Raw genomic sequence first — 17,239 nt, 5'->3', positions numbered from 1 at the left:
TCTTTGATTATTAGTAAAATATGACATTTTCCCCATATTTTGGTTAACCATTTTATATCCTTTTCTGATGAATTGCATATGTATGGCACATATACAGACAGCAATGTTGAAGAATAATGCAATAGTAATTGTGGATCCAAAACCAAATCTCCTGACTAGATCCTATATTACTTCCACACTTCACATGCTTAGACTGACAGCTTCCCAGACTAAATGAGCAGTTTTTCTTTTCCACCAAAAAGACTTGATATGACTAATTGCTGCCAAGTGTTTTTGTATTTCCATTTCATGCCCCTTTATATGTTAAGTCTTATGTTTTAGGATTTTGCTTTAGTGAAGGAAGGCATGATTAACAAATGAAAAATGGTAAATCCTCTTCTATCTAAGAAACATTTTACAAGTTTTATTTGGCATTTTCTTTTGGAAAGCCTTTCTTGTTGTTGTTGCAGTTCTTGTATTTGTTCGCTATGTTATTCATTTATTTGGTAGGATCAATCTGAATATGTAAATTTGCAAAGGTAGGAAAAGCAAAAATCTGTGAGTAGCTTGTTATAGAAAGCTGGGAGCCATTATTGGTTGAGTTTGTTAATGCCCTCTGCAGACTTTTCCATGGTTTTATTTACTGTGCAGGTTGAAACAGTGCTAACATATTCACCTGGTAGTTCTTGGGGATAATGTATTTTCCTTCTACATGAGGCCAAAAGCTGTTCTCAATTCTCATAGCTTCTCCTATTGTGCAGCCTTCTTGGTTCAAGCTTCTACAGAGCATCTGTTTTCAGGTATATATGGAAATACCAATTACCTAACAAGTCTGAAATGAAAGAGTTACATATTCCTTAAAAAATAATAAAAGCCTGATGGGGCCCAGAAAGTATCATTACCAGTTTTCGGAATCATTCTCAAAAACTCCCTCTGTTTCACCTGGTGATTCAGTCAGTCACCAAGCCCAGGGTTTCCATTTCACACAACTCCTACAATCCCTGCTGTACTGACCTGGTCCCCCTGCCACACCTTGCTGCTCCCTGCCTTCTGTCTTCTCCCATATGTCTTATTGCAATAGTTCACTTGTCATCAATTTCTTCTCTATTGAAATTCATTATAATGAATTCCCCATCACAGTGCTACCAGTGTTATCTATCAAAAGAAATCTAATCATATAATCTTCAGCTTTAAAAAACTGCTGGGCTCCTTTTTGTCCATGGACTAAAGTTCACATTTCTTAGTACAATCTACAAGAGCCTTGGCATAAGGACTCAGTTGCATCTGTCCTGCCATTTCCCTGCCTCTGTCTGTTACACTGGGCCTCACTAGCCTCTGAAGGTCCCTTGCCTTTCTACATGCTATTTTCTCTCTCTCAAGTGCTCCTCTAAGCCTCCTCTTTCCTGTCTGACAAATTCATGGTCATCCTTTAAACTAGCAGTAAACGCTAAACATATGTACAGTTCAGATCTGACCTTCTGGGTGAAGTCCCTGGACTTGGCTGAGATTTATAGCTGAGTTCTGTCATGTGCATGTCCATGGGTTCTTCAGAGACTCTCCCATTAGGAGGAGTCTACTTGTAATTCCTGAGGCTTGAGTGATGGATTCTGTTTCTCCAGTTGTCATTGCCTTCTCTTTGCCTGGATCTCTGTGGTCAACTCCATGTAAACTTCACTGTTGGAGAGCTCTCACTCTGCCAGAAGGTATGTAGGGCAGCACTTATAGAGCTTCAGTGTGGCCCTTCTTTGTTGTGTACCGCTCATAAATCCTTTTCCCAATAAACCCTGGGTATTAATCCTGCTACCACAGGTCACTATCCTTTTTCAGACATGAGTCAGGCACCAGTCCATGTCTCCCGAAATGCAGGAGTATCTACCAAGCTCTCACAGAACTTGGGTGTAGTGAGGAGGGTTGTGGGGACTCAGAGCATAACGACAGCTCCCTTCAAAGGGAATATTTTCACAACTCCTTCCTCTCTCAAGTATTTTGTAATCTACAAGTAGACGAGAGGGTTCAAGGTTGTAGACATTTCCTTTGCAGATTTTGTATATTGAGAAGATCATACTTACTGTAGTAACTGATGTATCATATCATACAGAAAGAGTCCCATTTTGACATCCTGTTACATTTAGACAAAATCTGCATAATAAAGCAATTTATTAAATACATCTTCACTTTAGAGAAGCTATATTTTAGATTTAAACTATTCTGAAGAATCAGTAGTCAATGATCATTTTAGAATAGTTTGTTAGAAGCCACGGTAAAATAGACACATTCTAGATCTCCTAATGTCACAAAGCCAATAAAGTGATACATAGCTTTTCAGAGTATATGTAGGGTGAAACACTAATAGTATTGAGGGGAAAAAAACAAAGTAGATCCTAAATCCTCCATTTCATTCAACTAAAATCCAGCTTGTTCCTGAACAGATCAAAATATTTATAAAATCGATTTGCAGTTCCTTAAAAGTAAATGGTAAAAAGTTATTGCTTAATTTTTTTTTTATTGTACCAATATGTAGTCCTTTGAAAGCATGCTCCAGAAAGTATACACATTTCCTTATGTACCACCCCCCTTCCTCCACCAATAGAGCAGAAGCAGTAGAACAGCTATTCTTGATCATTTATTTTTGCTGAGATAAACATGAAGATTATGTTCACATGGATTACATGCACTGGAATTTACTCAAGTCTTGGCATGTTACCTGGCTCTGTACCCTCTTTGTTTTCACACTCAACAAACTATGTCACTGGTTAAGCTAGAATCCAATTTAATTTTTTTAACAAAGCACTAAATTATCTTCAAACTTACTGCTATTACCAACAAATTATTTCTGGTACATCCAAAATCGAACCACATTATAACATTATATCTGTATGCTGCACAACCTGTTTGAGAATCACTGGTTTAGGCTTAAAAAATATTTCAATCAGGATGTTTTTCATTGTGTTAAGTATCATTGTTCAATCGTTGGTGGAGGACTCCTAATAAATGGAATATCATGATACCCCTTGACACTTGTTTACCTCACTTTATTTTTTGTTCTACTAGTCAGAAATATGTCTGCTTCATCATTTTCCACAACCGTATTGCTAACAGTGCTAAGAGGTGAATAGGATATTTGTGAAGTAACTAGGGTGGTCAAAGGGAAACCTACAACACACAGTCCTGGATGTTGACCTCAAACTAGTAGGAATTTGTGCTATTGTAGAAAAACTTTACCACCCTAACCCCATTGACTGGCTGACTGATTTGTTAGTTCAGTCATTCTTTTATTCTTTAAAAAAGTAGTTGTTGAGAACCTACCCTTTAAAAGAGATACCAACTGTATAGCAATTCTCATGCTCTTTTTTCCCTGATGTGTGTAGTGGTTAGAACACTTGCTTAAGCTTTTTTATTTCAAGTTATTTGCTCAAATTATATTTTTTAAACATTTTATTCTTTCCATTCTTTAATGGTAACCTTATTGATAAAATAGCAGCACTATGGCCTCTAACTAGTAATTAACACAACACATTAGAAGGTTCTTACTTGATACAAATCTTCGAATTGTTCTCAACTTAGAAGAGTCATAACAGATCATTTAAACAAGATGTTCTTATTTTCTATCTACCTTGAGTTTTTGGTAATTCAACTAATTCCCAGAATGTACTTATGAACTATCTGACTATGATTGTCATTCACTAGAATAACTTCTTTTTCCCTTAGAATATTGCTGTCTTCCATATTTTGTACAAGAAAGCCATGTTTTAATACATGAGCTATTGAAGTGAGTCCTCATACATACTAATATTCTATACCTAAATTCTTATTTATTCTTTCAAAATATATTGTTTTCTATTTACTTACCATCAAAAACATCATATAACCTCAGTATTTTAAATATCATGAGAAAAAGTTATCTTTACAATTTGTAAAATTGATTTATCTCTAATAATAATTGTGTATTACTTATTTCCGGTTTTCTTTCCTTTATTATGCTTGTTGAAAGACTGACATTGTGACTTCAGATTCAAAAAAGTTAAAAATATCTCAAAATGGATAATTTGTCTAACACTAACATAATCTGGTAAACCTTAGATTATATAATTAAGTAGATCCCTGTAGAGCCTCGCTTGAAGCCAGGTCTCCCAACGTGGGGACACTCAGCAGCCCAGATGAGAAACCCAACTTTTGAACATCCTGGGAGAGTCTGAGGTTCTGTAACATGTTGCTTCCCATGAAGAATATAATGTAATTGAAATTGAACACTTAGACGAAAAAGAATTGATACAAAAAGCTAATGATATATTTATTATATACACAACAGGAAATTGATTTTTTAAGTTGCTTTTTATCTATATGATTTGAACATTAAAATTTATTTTATTTTATATTTTCAGAAGCCAGGAATTTGTCTGTTTATTTGTTTACTTTTTAAACTTCCAGGTCAATGATTTTTTTATTGAAGTATGATTGACAAACATAATACATATTTAAGGTGTACAATGTGATGTTTTGATATACATATACATCGTGTAACAATACCCCTAATCAAGCCAATCAACTTACCCACCACCTCACATATATACTTTTTCTGTTTTCTTTCTGTTGGTAACACTTAAGATCTACTCTCTTGGCAAATTTCAAGAATATAATACATTATTATTAATGGACTATGAACATTAAAATTTAATGCTATTGTAGAAAAGGTATAAAGTCATAACATTATGAAATAAAGAGCATGATTATCTTTACAATGGTCTTTTTATTTAATTCCCTAACCTCTTTATTTATATATTTTTGCCTTTTAAAATTATTCTTAATGACATACAATAATTGTATATATTTATTGAGTAGAGAGTGATAGTTTGATGCATGTAAACGATGTGTAATGATCAAATCAGGGTATAGTGTATCTATCACCTCAAATATTTATCATTTATTTGTGTTGGAAACATTCAAATTCTTCTCTTTTAGCTATTTAAAAATATAGAATAAATTATTTTTAACTATAGTCACCCCACAGTGCTACAGTACACTAGAATTTATTTCTTTTATGTACCTGAAATTTTGCATTTGTTAACCAGCCTCTCCCCATTGCCCCACCTCACCTTTCCCAGCCTCTAGTTACCACTATTTTACTCTCTACTTCTATGAGATAAACTTTTTTAGCCTCCACATATTAGTGAGAGCGTGTGGTATTTATCTTTCCATGCCTAGCTTATTTTATGATGATCCTTTTAAAAGTAACTTTCTACCTACCCATAGGCTCTCTTTCGGACAGTAGCAATGATGGTACCTGACTATGCCATGATTGCTGAAATAGTCCTATACTCCTGTGGGTTTGTCACTGCTCGACCACTGTCTGTAAAAATTGTGGCTACGTATCGCTTGTGTTCAGAGCAGCTGTCATCTCAACATCACTACGACTATGGAATGAGAGCCGTGAAGTCAGTTCTTACTGCTGCTGGGAATCTGAAGGTAGAGAACACAATATTTCTTACTTGTAAATTTCCTATTTGTAGATTTCCAGCCTAATGGGTCTTCAGAGAATTCCAATAACTTGTTGGTTTCCTTAATTGATTGAAAAAAATCAATTATTAAACCAAAAATGTATTATCTTGTACACATGAAAAAAATTTTATAATGATTTGTAAAACCTTACACGTGTAATTCTTAGTGATTTGAGTTCTGTTTCATTAACGGGGTACTACCAAGGAATAAAATTGCTTACTCCTGAGAAATGTTTTGAATGCTCTCAGTCTATATAAACATATAAACAAATATAGCATTAAATGAAATAAGTATAATAAATATACACAAAAGATTCTAAATATTGTCACTTATTATAATTACACAATTGCAGCCAACTGTGGACTAGCAGTAGTAGATTTGCAGTATGATGTTTACCTTCAAAATGGTCTAAATTATAACTGTAATATATGAAAGCCCAAATACTTTAAGCTTTGGTTGACTTTTCATTGAGAGTATATTGTAGAACCATGAAATATAACTGTACATTAGTTAGTTCTTTATGAAATCAGATAGGCTTACTTAATAGAAAAATGCAAAATGTGACCTTGGAGCTTGCAAAATTTTCACATTCATGATTTGTAGAAGATACAGATTTTAAATTATATCCTATGTGATTAAGAACAATAGGATGCATTTTTATCTTCCATAATAATGTTATCAAGAATTCTGATATATAGTGGTGATATTCTATTTCACATTAGCCTGACATAACTTCAGGTCATTGTTTGTTGCAATAAACAAAAGGGACTAGAGGCAACAATTTGTATTAAGTTGGCATGTCAGGATTAGATTGTGGTCAGATAATGGGAAGTATAATGCATTGTCCTAGTGTATGTCATCACTGAAATCTTGACTATGGAATTGAGCTATTAAAGTTATGCAGCAAATGAATCCTGCAAATGAATCCTATCATTCTTTTTCAAAGCTAATATAGAATTGTTGAATGTTCTGGCCTGAATATTTTGAAGCTTGTTTCTATTATAGCAAGAAACAATTTAAGCATTTGCTTTAAAATAACAGCCTCTCAAAGAACAAAAGAGACTTCTGACACTGCATAATTGATGTGCAGTTAGATTGATCCAAAAACAAAATCCAGATCAACAGGACATGCTCTGTCATTGGGGAACTCGAGTTTCAGAGACTGACTCTGACTGCTAGGCATCACACACTTTGTAAGGCTGAAGCTAATTAAGTGAGAATATGGCATTTATTAGGCAGAGAGATTCTAGAGAAAAGGGAGAGGGTTCTGGAAAATTATATGCATGGTGGTAGGAGAAGCTTTGGAGTGAGATGTTGAATAATGTATTAAAGTTGGAAGAAATAATTCTGAGTTTGGATTTTTGTAAATTCATGTGAACATTATTATAGGTATGAGTAACAAGTTAAGAGTTCAACCAGATTTGTAGTAAACTTTGGGTACACCACAAATATTTTGGAATCTAATGTGAGTTTTCTTAAACACACTTTATTAAACTAACTTAGTGCATGACCAGCCGTCTCCACTCTCTCTGTGGAACTTGCTAACATGTGGCGTTCTGGGCGTGCAGCCAGCAGCATCCCCTGCTCTGCCCTTCCACTTCGGCTTCTGTCAGATGAGCTGCATTCCTTACTCAGAGCCGGTTTGCTTGTTCTTGAACCTTTTTGAAGCCGCTTGGACACGTTACTGTTATTATGTCATCTAACTGCATGGTGCGAAAACTGATGATATATAAGCATAGAAAGAAGGAATTTTTTTCCTGTGAAAACTAAGTTCATGTTTAAGAAAGATTCAATAACGATGAAATGCTAAAATTTTGACTTTGAATAAGATGTTGATAAGAAGTGTGTATAAAACTGAAGAAAAACTTAAAAATTTATCAGAATGATACACTTAAATTATATTACAAGTATCTTTGAAGAGCACTGGCCTCTTTAAAAAACAAAAACAGAACACAACAAGATAGAATAGATGATGTGTTATTGATGCTTTTGGAAAAAAAAATTGTGCCTAACTGTATATGCAGAGAAAAGGCCTTGGCATCAAAATATGGGAAAATTAGTGAATGTTTATATGTTTTAAATTTAAATGCCTCTTTTCAAAATGATTGCCCACTTTTAATAATTTTCATTTGACCAGTCTACTGCTAGTCATGAATACATGCAGAGAACAAGCAAGCTCTACCCAATATAAGGGATGGCAGCTGCCAAACTATATTTAATTCATGTTAATACCTCTTTACTTAGCATATCTGTGAAAAGGTAGTTAGTTTAACCTGTATTTTTATTATAAACTAGTAAAAAAAAACACAACAAGTTTAAATGTCAGTTTCTAAAATTCATAACAATCCAATATAAAGAAAGAAGAGCTGCATTTGTTTAAACTGAGTTACAGGGTCTGTAGGTTTGTGTGTATGCGAACACGAAGCGGGTAGGTGCTGTTAGGAGATGCAGATATCCTCATGAGTTTTTTTTTTTTTTTTTAGCTGAAATATCCAAATGAAAATGAAGAAATTTTGCTGCTTAGATCTATCATTGATGTAAATCTGCCAAAATTTTTATCCCATGATTTACCACTCTTTGAGGTAAGAACATTCATTATCCCAATGCATCAAAACTCTTATAATAATGTATTTATCACATGTCTAAGGTTGTGAAGCTCCCACTATGGAAAACAATGACACAGTACAGAGAAACATAGATAATTCCATATTTTATTTGAAGTGTGTTTAGCTAGCTTTGTCACTTTGAGAACTTTCAACAACTTGGGATTTTAAAATAGTACTTTTAAGTTTGTTACTGCAGAAAATAATGGGCACATGAAAGTTACAAAATATTTGCTTATAAATTCCACTAGAATGCAGGCTCCGTAAAGAAAAATAATTGGTCTAACACACCACTGAATCCCTAGCACAGTATAGATATAGTAAATGCTTGTTCAACTAATGACTGAAGAAATAAAATAGATAAATATGCTTAATTTCCTTAAATGAGATGACTTTTATGAAATTGTTTTTTATGATAACATAAGAACTAAGCTTAATAATCTTATTATAATTTAAGATTATGAGTAATTGAGAGGAAGTATTAGAATAATGGTTAAAGTTTTCATAATATCCTTTGGTGTCATTCTTTTCCTCTTCTCCATACCAGGTAGAAGAACTCAGAGGGGTAGTGAGTGCCTCCTAAATGTTAGATGTTGGACTAACTTACGCTGTTTTGGAATTCAGGCAGTTAGCTTGCAGTGTGTTACATATTTCCAGATATAGGAATCTAGTTTCATTCTTCTGCATATAGTTATCCAGTTTTCCTAGCACTGAAGATATTGTTATGTCATGGGGAAGGGGAGAAGAGATGCTGTTGCTAGTATTGTCCAGTGTCATTAGCTACCGATGGCAGCCATGTCTCATCATTCTGAAAAGAGCTTTACTTAGTATTTAGAGTTGACATGCAAATATATTATGGAGCAAATCAACAAGGAAAGAGTTCAGATTTTCTCCTTAAAGTTTTCCCTCAATTTGTTTAGTACTGGTGCACTGTACAGATTTTCCAGGAGTAAAACCTATGTTTATTTTCAGAATATGGAAATATACCTCACTAGATGTATTGTCATGCAGTTGTATATTCATTCAGCAAACATTTATTAAGCAGTATTTCTCAAGTGGAGGTGAGGAGTGAAGTCCACTTGCTTCTACGCTGCCATTTTTGAACTAGAAGTCAGGACTCCAACTTTTTAACTTAAAAATAACATGAAACTAAATGTAAAACCTCAAGCTCTAACATTTCTAGCAGAAAACCTTTGTGACTTTGTGTTAGACAAAGATTACTTAAGTACAATACCAAAAAACACAATCCATAAAAGAATACATTGACAAAATTGAAAAAAAAAAACTACTCTTTGAAAGACACATAAGAAAATGAAAGACAAGATCAGGAAAAATATAAACATATGGCCTAAGCACAGGTAAAGAAGTTACTCATTGGAAAATACAAATCAAAACCGTAACAAAATATCACTGCACAGCATGGCTAAAATTTAAAAGATGGATCATACCTAATATTGGAACTTTTATACATGGCTAGAGGAACATGACTTAGTACAACCACTTTAGAAAACAGTTAAGCAGTTTCTTAAAATGTTCAACACCTATCCACCATATTCAGGTTATTCCATGTCTCAGTATTCACCCAAGGGAAATGAAAGCATTTGTTCATACAAATTCACACACAAATGTTTGTAGTCACTTTATTTGTAGTAGCCTAAAACTGGAACAGTGAAAATGCACATCAATAGGTGGATAGATTTAAAAACTGTAGCACTTTGTTACGGTGGAATATTACTCGGCAAAAAAAAAGAATAAACTATTGATACCTGCTGTGACATGTTTGAATCTCAAAATATTTATGCCATGTGAAGGAAGCCAGAGGGAAAAAGTAGTATGTATATGGTCTAATTTCATTTATATTAAAGTCTAGACAATGCAAATAAAAATAGTAACCAAAAACAGATCAGTGGCAATCTGGGGATGGAGGTAGGAGGCAGCAAGGAGAGGAGGGAAGGAGGATTACAAAAGGTTACAGGAAACTTTTTGAGAGTGATGGATATGTTAATTATCTTGGTTATTTTGACGGTTTTATTTATGAAATTTTATACTTTAAAATACTGCCACCTATAGTCCCAGCTACCCAGGAGGCTGACGTGGGGGATGGCTTGAGCCTGGGAGGCGGAGGCTGCAGTGAGCCATGATCGTGCCACTGCACTCCAGCCTGAGCAAGAGCCAGACCCTGTCTCAAACAAAACAAACCAAAACAAAAACTGTTTGCAAAACGAACATCATAAGGATCACAATTTAAAAATTGAAAAAAAGAAAAAAATACACGTTTGCGTATGTGAACTATTCCTCTATAAAGCTGTTAAAAATATTGTTGAACTATTATTATCTAATGGCCCTATTTCCATCAATACAAAATATTTGTATTTAATATAAATATATAAAATGTAAATCCTTCAAATCATCTATCATCAGGGAATTACTTCGGATTTGTTTCCTGGGGTAAAATTACCAAAACCAGATTACAATGATTTGCTGGCAGCTATCAAAGACAATTGTGCCTCCATGAATTTGCAAATGACTGCATTCTTTTCCGAGAAGATTCTTCAAGTATATGAAATGATGATTGTGCGTCATGGTTTTATGATTGTTGGAGAACCATTTGGAGGAAAAACTAGTGCATATCGTGTCTTAGCTGGAGCACTAAATGATATATGTGAAAAGGCAAGTATATTATTAATGCATTAATTTATTTATAATTGACTTTGTGCAAGGTAGAATGTACCATTATTTTAAAAGATGCATTCAATGTGGCAACTTAAAATCATGAGAAAAATGAGTCAAAGAGAAAATAAAGTTTTAGAAAAGTAAAATGAAGCAAATAGGAAGTTCAGCATATAAAGGGTATGCCACAAACTTGCTTTCGACCTTTTATTTCTTTTTTAAAAAAATTATTAAAGTAATACATGTCTCTTGTAGAAAAAAGTCTGAAAACAGAAAAATCTGAAGGTTTTCCTGCAATACTTTCAGAGGAGTCTTTTTTATTTTCTAGATAGATTTGTAATGCAAGCTTCTGTTATTGGCTGCTAGTGGTATTGAACTGAAATGTGTATATGTGCATATGTGCACACATATATAATGACACATTCAGAATTCTTATACACATCACATTTTGATTGACTTTGAAATGCTGAAGGAGTGGGGCTGTTTTAAATACTTCAACTAATATTGCATTTCTATTTACCTCTCCTTATAGATATTTCAAATAGTTTTCACTTTATAAATTTCAATGTTCATATCCTATATGAGGTTTGTGATGATTATATCTTTACTTGAAGAGTCTCCCTTTCAATCAATATGAAATTACTTACTTTTCTGTTATTTGTTGTGATCTACTTTGTCTAATTTCAATATTGCTACCCCTACTTTCTCCCTGTATGTATATTTGCCCATGTCATTAATTATATCCTTGGGTGTCACTGTGATTTACTTTCTATAGAGAATAAATAGCTTGACTTTTGTTTTCTACAGATCAGTGGTCTTTATCTTTTCAAAGATAAGTTTAAAGTCATTTGTATTTATTATACAAACTGATACGCTACTTATTCCTGCCATCTGTTTCTTCTGCTTTTACACTTCCATGCTGTTTTGTTTCTTTACTTCCCTTCTCTTTTTTCTTCCATTTTTTCACTTCTTAATTGTCTTCTGCATTCTTTATCTTATTTATGGCTCATTTGTATTTTTCCTGTTTTGTTATTTTATTGTCATAGGAACTGATCTTTTATATATATATACATATATAAAATAAAGTCTCCAAAAGAACCCAACAGGTCACTGCTCAAAGAGTAGAAGGAGATGAAGATATGAGCATGTATTCTGGTCCACTTGTAAAGTCTAAATGGCTCATTACCAGGGAATTCTAAGGGTGACATTGTGATTATGTCATAGGGCAGTCTTCCTTAGCCAACCAAGCTATCGCTTCACACTAGCCTTGCTGCATTTAGGATAAAAACTTTTCTTTGGTGACAGCAACTTTGTTCTGATTAAGAAGATAATAGAGATTTCCTATACTTCTTAATTTAGGAAGATACATTGTTATCGCCTTCCTGGCACACAAAAGAAAGCAAAGATATTGAGCTTGTTTTATTGTTTAAGATTACTATTCTGGGCTGGGCACGGTGGCTCACGCCTGTAATCCCAGCACTTTGGGAGGCTGAGGCGGGCGGATCACAAGGTCAGGAGACTGAGACCAACCTGGCTAACATGGTGAAACCCTGTCTCTACTAAAAATACAAAAATTAACCAGGCGTGGTGTCGGCTGCCTGTAGTCCCAGCTTCTAGGGAGGCTGAGGCAGGAGAATGTCGTGAACCCGGGAGGCAGAGCTTGCAGTGAGCCGAGATCGCACCACTGCACTCCAGCCTGGGTGACAGAGTGAGAAGATTACTATTCTGCCGGGAGTGGTGGCTCATTCCTGTAATCTTGGCCCTTTGAGAGGCCAAGGCAGGCGGATCACTTGAGCCCAGGAGTCCTAGACCAGCCTGGATAAAAGTAGAAACCCTGTTTCTACTTTAAAAAAAAACACAAAAAATTAGCTGGGCGTGGTGGCATGTGCCATGTGTAGTCCCAGCTACTCAGGAGGCTGAGGTGAGAGGACCACTTGAGCCCAGGAGGCTGCAGTGAGCCGAGATTGTGCCACTGCACTCCAGCCTGGGTGACAGAGTGAGAGCCTATCTCAAAAGAAAAAAGAAAAAAAAAGGTTAATATTCTCACTTTTTTTTTTTTTTTTCCAGTTTGGTAGTTTGTGTCCCAAGCTCGGGAGTGCCAGGCAGAAGGCAATATTAGAAAGAGTTGAACTTGTTATGTTTTTATATATAAAAAATAAATGATTGCCAATAGGTGGAGCACAGGATTTTTAGGGGAGTGAAAGTGTTCTGTATGGTACTATAATGGGGGATAATGATACTACACACTTGGCAAAACCCATATAATTATGCAACACAAAGAGTGAACCCTTAGTGTAAACTATAGACTTTAGTTAATAGTAATGCATTAATATGAATTCATCAGCCATAACAATGTACCACACCAATTCAAGATGTTAATAATAAGGAAAACTGTTGTGTCTTGGTAGTAGAGAGAGTATCTGGAATCTTCGTACTTTCTGCTCAATTTTTCTGTAAACCTTTTTTTAAAAAGCCAGTTAATTAAAAAAAAAAAAAAGATTATGTCCAAAGGGCATTAATATCTCTTATAATGCCATAGACCAGCTTTCAGGGTTTTGGGTAAAATTGACAATTTACCAACATTAACTTTTTCACTCCACAAGAAATAGACATTTCTGTATATTTAGATCTTTTAATTTTCTCTCAGAGGTTGTTTTGTAGCAGGGGTCAGCAAATTACAGTACATGGGCCAAATTCAGCCCCAAGCCTTTTTTCGTAATGCCAATAAACTTAGAATAGTGTTAACATTTTAAACATTTGTTAATTAAAAAAAGAAAACATAGAAGAATATGTGGCAGATGATATGAAACTTGCAAAGCCTATATAATATTTACCATCTTATCTTTTACAGAAGAATTTGCCAACCCATTTCTTAGTTTAAGATATGTAGATCTTGCACAACATTTGCTAATTTCTTCCTAAGTATTTTGTGAGCTTTTAAATACTATTGTGAATACTTTTTAAATTTTATTTTTCAATCGTTAATTAGCATTGCATATAGATAATATAATTGATTTTATATATTGACCTTGTATGCTGGGACCTTGTCAAATTCACTACTTCTAATACTTTCTTTGTAGATTCCTTAGGATTTTCTGTATGTGCAATAATGTTTTCTATGAATAAAGACAGTATTCTTTACATAAATAAATGTTTTTTTTTTTCATTAAGGGGCTAATGGAAGAAAACAAAGTTCAAATAACTGTTTTAAATCCTAAGTCTGTCACCATGGGCCAACTGTACGGACAGTTTGATTCAGTGTCCCATGAATGGTCTGATGGGGTCCTTGCTGTCAGTTTTAGAGCATTTGCCTCTTCAGTGGTAAGTTCTAACACTTTCACATGCATATCTTAAAAGGTTAAGATATTTATTTCTGACCAATTTCTGATTTTTTTTTCAAACAAACTAATTGTATCTATAGATTAAGATATTATTTAAAACACAGTACTGGATATTCTGGCAGTATTTCTGTGAAGAAAAATGTCAGCACCTACAAAAATGCCAGAGACCAAGCTCCTTTACCCTGGAGGAATACAGAAGAGAGGGTAGAAAAAAAAAAAGGCCAGGGCAAAGTATTTCTGGTTATTTTCTCCGAAGTGAGATGAACTAAAAATGAGAATATCTGAATGACATGATCCTTTTGCCTCTTCAGTAATGTTCTTCCTCCACCCACTCTGTGGGCTGCTGCTATTGTCATGCCTGCTAATTGTTAGATATACGCCAATGCTTAGAGAAGAAATTGCACACCTTTGCACAATGATGTCTTAAAGTTCCCACACTTTTCCTTTAGCATATTAGAAAGAGAATGACTGCCTTGTGGAAAGCAGAGGAGACAAGTGGCTTGCCAGCTGCTACTGGCTGTGAATGGAGAGTGGGCACTTAACCTACTCCTGGCTTATTCTGCTGCCCACTCCCATAAAAAGAATCCGCAGACCAATACATATTAACTTGGTTGCCATATTTTAGCAGGTTCTGCAGAGCATGTGATTATACGGGAGACAGCTTGCTAAAGCTGGTAGTATAGGAAAAGGGGCCTAGGCTCAGGACGTTTAAGTTGTTTATCAAATCATTCTTTTTATAAGTGTTTTCTTTCTTCTGACTACCATACATTCTAAACTTGATGCTGTCTACCCACTTAAGGACCTAGCAGAGCATGACTCATGAGTCAGGTAATAATGGATAAAACGTGAAATCTCAGCTCTGCTCTTATTGCTGGAAAGACCTTAGGCAATGAATGACATAAGGACTGACTCTCATGGGGCAGAGATCTTGCCCAAAGTCAAGTGTTACTAGTAATTTCAAGGATAAAAGAAATTGTGGGCACAAGTGAAGCAGACAGAGCTCTGGAACCCTTGATGTGGCTTCTTAGGTCCTATCTTGCCACAATGGAGGCACTCTGGCTCAGAATAAGAGATGAAGTCACTAGATAATATATACAGTTATATTATTTACACAGAAATAATCATGAGATACCTCTATTTTATACTTACAACTTACATTACATTTTTCAGGAAGCTATGTCCCACAAATACTGAGTCTCAGGGAGTTTAAGTAGTTCACCTGAAGTCCACAGCTCATAAGTAGTAGAGTCAAATGAAAAGTGAGGTCCTTGAGACTGTGAAGCCCAAGGTCTCGCCATTGCACGGTAGTGTTTCCCAAAGTGATGCATAACAGGCATGGGAAGCCCACAGCAGGAGAGGAAGCTGATCTCAAGATGATCACCGAGCTGTGGCTCTTCCTTGCTTCCTGAACACAGCTAGAAGTGGCCTCTGAGTGTGGGTGTGGGGTGGCTTGAGCCTGAGACAGACCCGTTATCTTATAGATTAATGCAGTTGGCTGCAGGGACTGAGAACGTGCTAATATGGATTCAAATCCTTCACCACTTCAACTTGAAATCATATTTGCTGAAGGAAAAGCAAGGAATCATTGGTGTATACAAAAAAGGTTGAATTATAAGGATCTGAAAAGGAGAATCAGTCTCTGTACACTCTGGCTAATACCTGGCTACTGTTTCATATCTGTTGAGCATTTACTATATTCTGGACAATGTATAAATATTTTCATATTTATTATATCATTGTGGGACTGTGAATGTTATATTGGTTGTAATTTTCTATACCATCAGGAAAGAGTTCAGCCCAAGTGGGTGTGTATACGTGTATGTATGTGTGTGAATTCATTCAGTGAAGGGGATAAGAAATTTGCTTTAGCACACAATGGTAATTAATTTGCATAAACATGGTACTATATAGAGTCAGATAATCTGAATAATTTTGTTTTTCCTAGAAAGTAGATATTTTTTACTTATATTACTTTCTAAAACATGTTAATATATTTGAATTCAGAAACATTGATCAAGGGCCAGGTGCAGTGGCTCATGCCTATAAATCCCAGCACTTTGTGGGGGCAAGGCAGGTGGATCTTGAGCTCAGGAGTTCAAGACCAGCCTGGGCAACATAGTGAAACCCCATCTCTACCACAAGAAATAAAAAATTTAGCTGGGTGTGGTGGTGCGCACTCGTGGTCCTAGCTAGTTGGGAGCTGAGGCAGGAGGATTGCTTGAACCTGGGAGTCAAAGACTGCAGTGAGCCATGATCACCCCACTCTGCCCTCCAGCCTGGACAACAGAGTGAGACCCTGAAAAAAAAAGAAAAGAAAGAAAAAGAAAGAAAGGAAGGATGGATGGAAGGAAGGGAGGGAGGGAGGGAGGAAAGAAAGGAAGGAAGGAAGCAAGAGAGAAAGAATCTTAAGAAAAGATGACATATGTCTGTCTTGTCCATGGCATATATAGTATAGGCTTCTTTAGTGATACATATTATATACATCTGTGCACACACACACATAGTAATCTTTATTCAAAAAGTGCTTTTACGTTTTCATGATGAAATTAATCCTAGTACTTATATTTTAAAATTTTGAAATAATATTATTGAACTGTTTCTTTATATTATCATCATTACGTTTTTGCCCTCTGTTCACATATGCATGAAACAGACTCCAGATAGGAAATGGTTAATTTTTGATGGCCCAGTAGATGCAGTGTGGATTGAGAATATGAACACTGTGCTGGATGACAACAAGAAGCTATGTCTGATGAGTGGGGAGATTATTCAGATGTCACCACAAATGAATCTAATTTTTGAGCCAATGGATTTAGAAGTTGCTTCCCCTGCCACTGTAAGTTCTCCATTTTGACATCTTTTTATAAATTATAAAATGTTATAAATGCATGTATTTGCTTAGTACCTTTGACTTTAAACAAAAAATATTAGCAGAATTTCTTTTAAGAGCGATCTGTGATTCTCAAAGTACAGACGTTATCTGTTGACATATCTTGACTAATTTAGTGGTCAGGATGTTTTTCTCTTGGTTTAGGACTATTTGGTAAAGTCAGACACAAAAATCGACATCATGAAATTATATAATATTAAGCTTCCCCCCGCCCAAGACTTTGCTGAAGGTTATAAAAAAACAGAGGTGCCAAATCATAT

The 17,239-nt window shown here is 35.1% G+C and overlaps 1 protein-coding gene across 11 annotated transcripts in view; it reads left to right on the top strand.

Annotated features, from left to right (window-relative positions):
* Window positions 1–17,239, top strand: part of DNAH7 (dynein axonemal heavy chain 7) — a 331,135-nt gene that overhangs the window by 163,114 nt on the left and 150,782 nt on the right. For all 11 annotated transcript variants that reach the window (XR_922968.4, XM_011511488.4, XM_017004504.3 and 8 more), the window contains 5 exons: window positions 5,230–5,442; window positions 7,959–8,057; window positions 10,500–10,748; window positions 13,920–14,069; window positions 16,743–16,925. Coding sequence is in view for 10 of the 11 variants with exons in the window: in XM_011511488.4 (XP_011509790.1) it covers window positions 5,230–5,442; window positions 7,959–8,057; window positions 10,500–10,748; window positions 13,920–14,069; window positions 16,743–16,925 (894 nt within the window). In the remaining variant the exon portion in view is untranslated. The remainder of the gene's footprint in view (window positions 1–5,229; window positions 5,443–7,958; window positions 8,058–10,499; window positions 10,749–13,919; window positions 14,070–16,742; window positions 16,926–17,239) is intronic.

This window comes from Homo sapiens, chromosome 2 (assembly GCF_000001405.40).
Source record: "Homo sapiens chromosome 2, GRCh38.p14 Primary Assembly".
Classification (NCBI taxonomy): Eukaryota; Metazoa; Chordata; class Mammalia; order Primates; family Hominidae; genus Homo; species Homo sapiens.
Note: the sequence above shows the minus strand (reverse complement) of the source record. Positions and strands in the feature narration are given on the sequence as shown.